This window comes from Homo sapiens, chromosome 15 (assembly GCF_000001405.40).
Source record: "Homo sapiens chromosome 15, GRCh38.p14 Primary Assembly".
Taxonomy (NCBI): domain Eukaryota; kingdom Metazoa; phylum Chordata; class Mammalia; order Primates; family Hominidae; genus Homo; species Homo sapiens.
This window is the reverse complement of record NC_000015.10, coordinates 62896100-62900979: the sequence shown is the minus strand read 5'-3', so window position 1 is coordinate 62900979 and position 4880 is coordinate 62896100. Positions and strand designations below refer to the sequence as shown.

General features: G+C 47.0%; 1 annotated feature.

The window, feature by feature from the left end:
• Positions 2620-3385: an enhancer, noted in NCBI's record as "H3K27ac-H3K4me1 hESC enhancer chr15:63189794-63190559 (GRCh37/hg19 assembly coordinates)". NCBI's record gives its function as "activates a minimal SCP1, AML or CMV promoter by ChIP-STARR-seq in naive H9 embryonic stem cells {active_cell/tissue: H9 hESC(naive)}" and the evidence as "EXISTENCE:reporter gene assay evidence [ECO:0000049][PMID:30033119]".

Sequence of the window (4880 nt, the reverse complement as noted above, 5' to 3'; positions counted from 1 at the left end):
CGGCCCCTCCTGCTGCCTTTGTTACCACCCCAGCCCCAGACTGCTGTGGGGTACCTTGGAGTATCATTTTCCTCTTCCTTTCTTGTTTCCTCTCCTAACTTTTCTTCCTTTACTCTCTGTAACACAGGTAATCCATATTCATGGTGGAACAAATTTAAAAATTGAGATAAGCAAAAAAGAAAAATCCCTATGACCAGCCCTCCCCCGGCCGCTGTGAGTGGGCAGACGCTGGCACTCGCTAATATTTGGTTGATGTTTTTCCGGACTTTTTTCTATGCATACTTGCGTATAAGGCACTTATTTTTTTCAAAAGCATGCAATCCCACCCACAGCCTGGCACTGAGGAGCCAGGACAGCCACTCATTCAGGAAGGGCCTCTACCAGTTTGGATGACGAATATTATCTCGCAATCATGACCTGTAGCTCTATGGCAAGAGGCTGTTAGGACATGACATTTCAAAACAGAATTGTTCTGAAATAATTTTTACTTGGCTACAAAGAACAAATAGCAAGAGTGATGCCAGTCTGGGGTAGGATAGGCAGCTGCTGGGCAGATGAAATATTTTTTGTGTAAGGTAGTGATGGTCTTTGTGGAAGGTTACAGTTTTTGCTTTAGCACAGTGCCTGGTCTCTGTGTATTGCACTGCAGTGTTTGATAAAGGCAACTTTCTTCTTCATCCTCACCTGTTCTGGCAGGAATCACTTTGCCTGTGTCAGGCTTTTTTTTCAGCGGTCACCTGATTCAGAACCGCACCCCAGTGTACTGGCTAAGAAGATAGACTATCAAGTAAGGAGGTGTGGGTTCAAATCCTAGCCCTGCCCCTAAATAACTGCGTGAAATTGGGCAAGTGGTTTAGCTTGCTTGTGTCAGATTTCCTCATTTGTAAAACAGGGATGAAGACAGAATATACAGTTCAGGCTTGGGGTGAGAATTCAGTGAAATAAAACAGGGAGAGCACTCAGAAGACGGCATAGCACATAGTGAGTGCTCAAAACTCATTCATTCTTCTTCTGCTATTATTATTTTTTCAACTCTTACTGAACAGATCCTGTGTTAAAGGCACTTGCCCGGATTCCAGTGTAATTTAGGGCAAATTGGTGAACTTACCTCTCTCTTACTTCAGATAGGAGCTCGAGGCAGTTGGGGAATGAGATGAGGGGTAATTTCAGGTGCTTGGATATCAGGGGATTGAATAAGTTTGCATTATGGGGTCACTGGAGCTTGTTGACACATGGGGAAAATGTTAAGAGCAATGTTGCTTTAATTGGGACTCTCATAAACACAGCACTCCCATTGCTGAAGGTGGGTCTTGAGTACATCGGGGTCCAACGTGCTATTCATGCTACTTTTGTGTATGTGTGAGAGCTTCCGTAATACAACGTTTTTATACAGGTATAGGTGTGTGCGTCCTGAAAAAAAATCTACAAGCACTCTATTTTTCTTTCATCCTTTTACCGAATTGTTTTAATATGCCTTTTATACAATGCTCATGAATCTTTTTTGTTAAGACCACAAAAGCAATAAAAATGCATCCTCCTTGGACATACTGGTGTTGAGAGAAGCCACAGCTGGTCTATTACAAGGTTTTCACTCTGGCGATCACATTTTATTGCACTGATGACATGCAGAATTCCTTAGCTGACAGGTGATGGGGACAAAGAGCAGACACCTCACTGGTACCTGGTGCCAGGCTGCCTGCTCCCTTTGCCCTTCCTCCCAGTCTTGGCTTCCAGCCCTTATTTTAGGTCATGCTTTTCCCATCTATGTCAATGCCCAGCACACGGTGTGCCCCATTAAAACTCTGAGAACAGAAGAGTTGGAGGTTAGAGACATTCATCTGGGTTAATCACAGAACTTTCCACCTCAAGATTGGGGTCCTTGACATCTGTCCCCTCCCTCTTCCAGGCCGGCCTCACCACCTCCTTCTCTCTGGTCCTGGCAACTCCTCCAGACTTTTGGCAACAACATAGATGTCACATTCTTGTTACTACGTAGGACTGAGTTCATCTTCTTTTTAGTGATCGGTCCTTCAGATGTTTGGGCTGGGTTTGTTGCTACCACCATTATTATTATGAATAATTATAGCTGCCGATTATTGAGGGGTTATTGGGTACCAAATGCCATACATCCATAGTCATGGTCTCATTTAATCCATACAACAGCCAATGAGGTAAGTGCTATTATTCCATTTCACAGACGAGGAAACTGAAGCTTGCAAAAGTTGAGTATTACAGCCACAGAGCTAATAAAAGAAAATTGTAATTCCAGGCTTGCTTATTCCAAAGCTCATGCTCTTCACATTATGCTTATTTGCGATTCTTTTTCCATCTGTGGAAAGAGGAGGAGGGTGTAAAAGAATGGCTTTCACTAGACCTACAGTTCTGTTGTGGTTTTGTATGTACATGGTAAATGGAGACTACCATGACGTGGACACCCTTGCTGTCTAGGCTCTAGTGTCTTATAAAAGGGCTCTAAGGTGTGTGTGTGTGTGTGTGTGTGTGTGTGTGTGTCGCGCACACACACACACTTCTAAATGTAAAGAGAGGGCCATCCAGAGGTAGAGGGCTGTCAGGTAAGAAAATGACTCCGGAATTCAGCACACCTGGGTTCTGCCTCAGCTCTGACACTCATCAGCTTGTTATCTTAAGCAACCCGCTTCCCCTCCCTGTACCTCAGTTTCCTTATTTGTAAAAGAGGAATAACAAAGCCTAGGTCACTGTTAAGTGCATTAAGTGAGATCAATGGAAAGCGTCCAGAGGAGTGCCCAACCAAAGTTGGCATTCGAAAGTAAGGGTGTCCCTGTCCCACATTCTCTGGTGCAGGAGGGTTTCCCAAAGCAGCGTTGGGAAGAGAGAGAAGTGTGAGCCTTTGCCTGGGTGCATGCTCAAAGATGCAGTTTTGGGGAGGAGGGTACTTTGCAAACCCCAGCAAGTTTTCCACTGGGAACTGCTGGATTGTATGTTGGGAGCTTTGGAGTGAGGTTTGGGCCTTACCCCCCCCTTGGCCTCCCCAGCTGTTCGGGAGGGTGCAGGTCTGCTCCCCACACACACCCTCCCTTCTGCTTTCTTCCCCATGCATCTCAACCTAACCAAAGTTCACGCCCAGCCCTCGCTTTCTTTCCTGACTGCCACTCAGACCACAGACACGCGGGGCAGGGGCCACACTGGGTGGGGCTGCAGGTGGTCTGCAGGTCTCAGAGGGGGGTCTGGACTGAAGAGTTAGCCCCCTCCTGCTGTGAACCTCCTATTCTTAGAAAACCAGGGACTCCAAAAGCACTCCTGACCCCGCTCCCAGCCACAGACAGACACAGCGACCCACACAGACTTAGAGACACACACGTAGGCACACAGACACATAGAGATACAGACCCCCACCCCAAAACATGTACAGATATGCAAAGATATGCAGAGACACAGCCACATAGAGACAGACACACACAGAAATATGAACAGATGTATACACACATAGACACAGACCCACGCACACAGAAACATGTACAGATATGCAAAGACATGCAGAGATGCACACACAGACACACAGAAATACCCAGACACATAGAGACACATACATAGACGCAGACACACACGGAGACACTATGACGTGAACAGTGTGTGCGCGCACACACAGGTTCCCTCCCACCCGGCAGGCGCTGCCCTCTGCCCCGCGGCCCCCACCCCTGCGGCTCTGCCTCTTTGGTCTAATAAGGGTAGGTGAGAAAGCATTGTGAGATTCCGGAGATATTTCCTGGCTCCCCGCATGCTCCTTCTGTGGCGCGTCCAGCTGAATGTTCAGCTCTGGGCAAGTGTCCAGGGCCCGGGGCCCCAAGGCTGAGTCATGTAGACAAAGATTCCGAGGCCCTGAGTAGCCTTTCTAGATCCCCGGCCTTTAAAAAAACACCGCAGGATGCCCTAGGAGGCAGCGAAGTTTCCCACAGAAACTCCACTTTGTGCAGATTTAATCACAGGGCATTTAAATAGCATCATCTGGAGGTAATTTGGAATTTAAATTACCAGGCTAGAGGAAATTTTTTCTACCAAAAGAAGGGCTTGGAATATTATATTGTGTTGGTTATCGATCAGCCATTTGCAAGGGATTACAAAAGTGGTAAGGCCTGTTTTATACAATATGTTAGAACAATTTACAGCAGGATTTGGTCATCACTAGTGTAACTGGTATTACTTGTTCCACAAAGCTTGGGGCAAGAAATGACACATTTCATGAATTTCTAAATCAAATCGTCCTTAGACCCCACACCTACTAGGACCTCAGAAAAATTCAATCCCAGCCTCTTTTCAAGGCCCCTCCTCTCCTCCTATGCAGAACTCTGAGGCCTCAGGATCCTTGAAACTTGGGGGAAGGGCATCAGGTCTGTGACGATCACTGCCCAGTGGCTCATTGTCCATGCCCAGGTAAACCAGTAAAAGGCTGCTGCTCACGGCATCCTCCAAATTCAAGGCCACAGTGCAAGTGTCCAGTCCCCAGAAGCACACTGCCCACCCAGCCACTCCCCAGAGGCCTTGGCACCTCAGGGTCCTGGGTAAGAGGCTGGGCACCCAAGGGTCCTGCCAGTCCTTGAATGACCTCTAGCCCTTGGCCCCCTCCCCAGCCCTCGCAATCTCTAACAGTAAGTGTTAGGTCTACAGACCCTTAGAAAATCAAAGAAAGGCCTTTAACTTTCCCCCAGAGCAAGAGAAGCCTAGCCTTCAAGACAGGAAGGCCTCTGGAGAAGAAGAAGAGGAAATCCCCCACATTCTTTTCCAGTGAGCTACATAAGAAAAACAGACATGGTTAATTTATCAATTGCAGTGGCCAGTCACTTCTTAGTCAATAATTACCTGATTTACTTAATAATCCTTACTCTTCAGGGAGTAGATAGAGC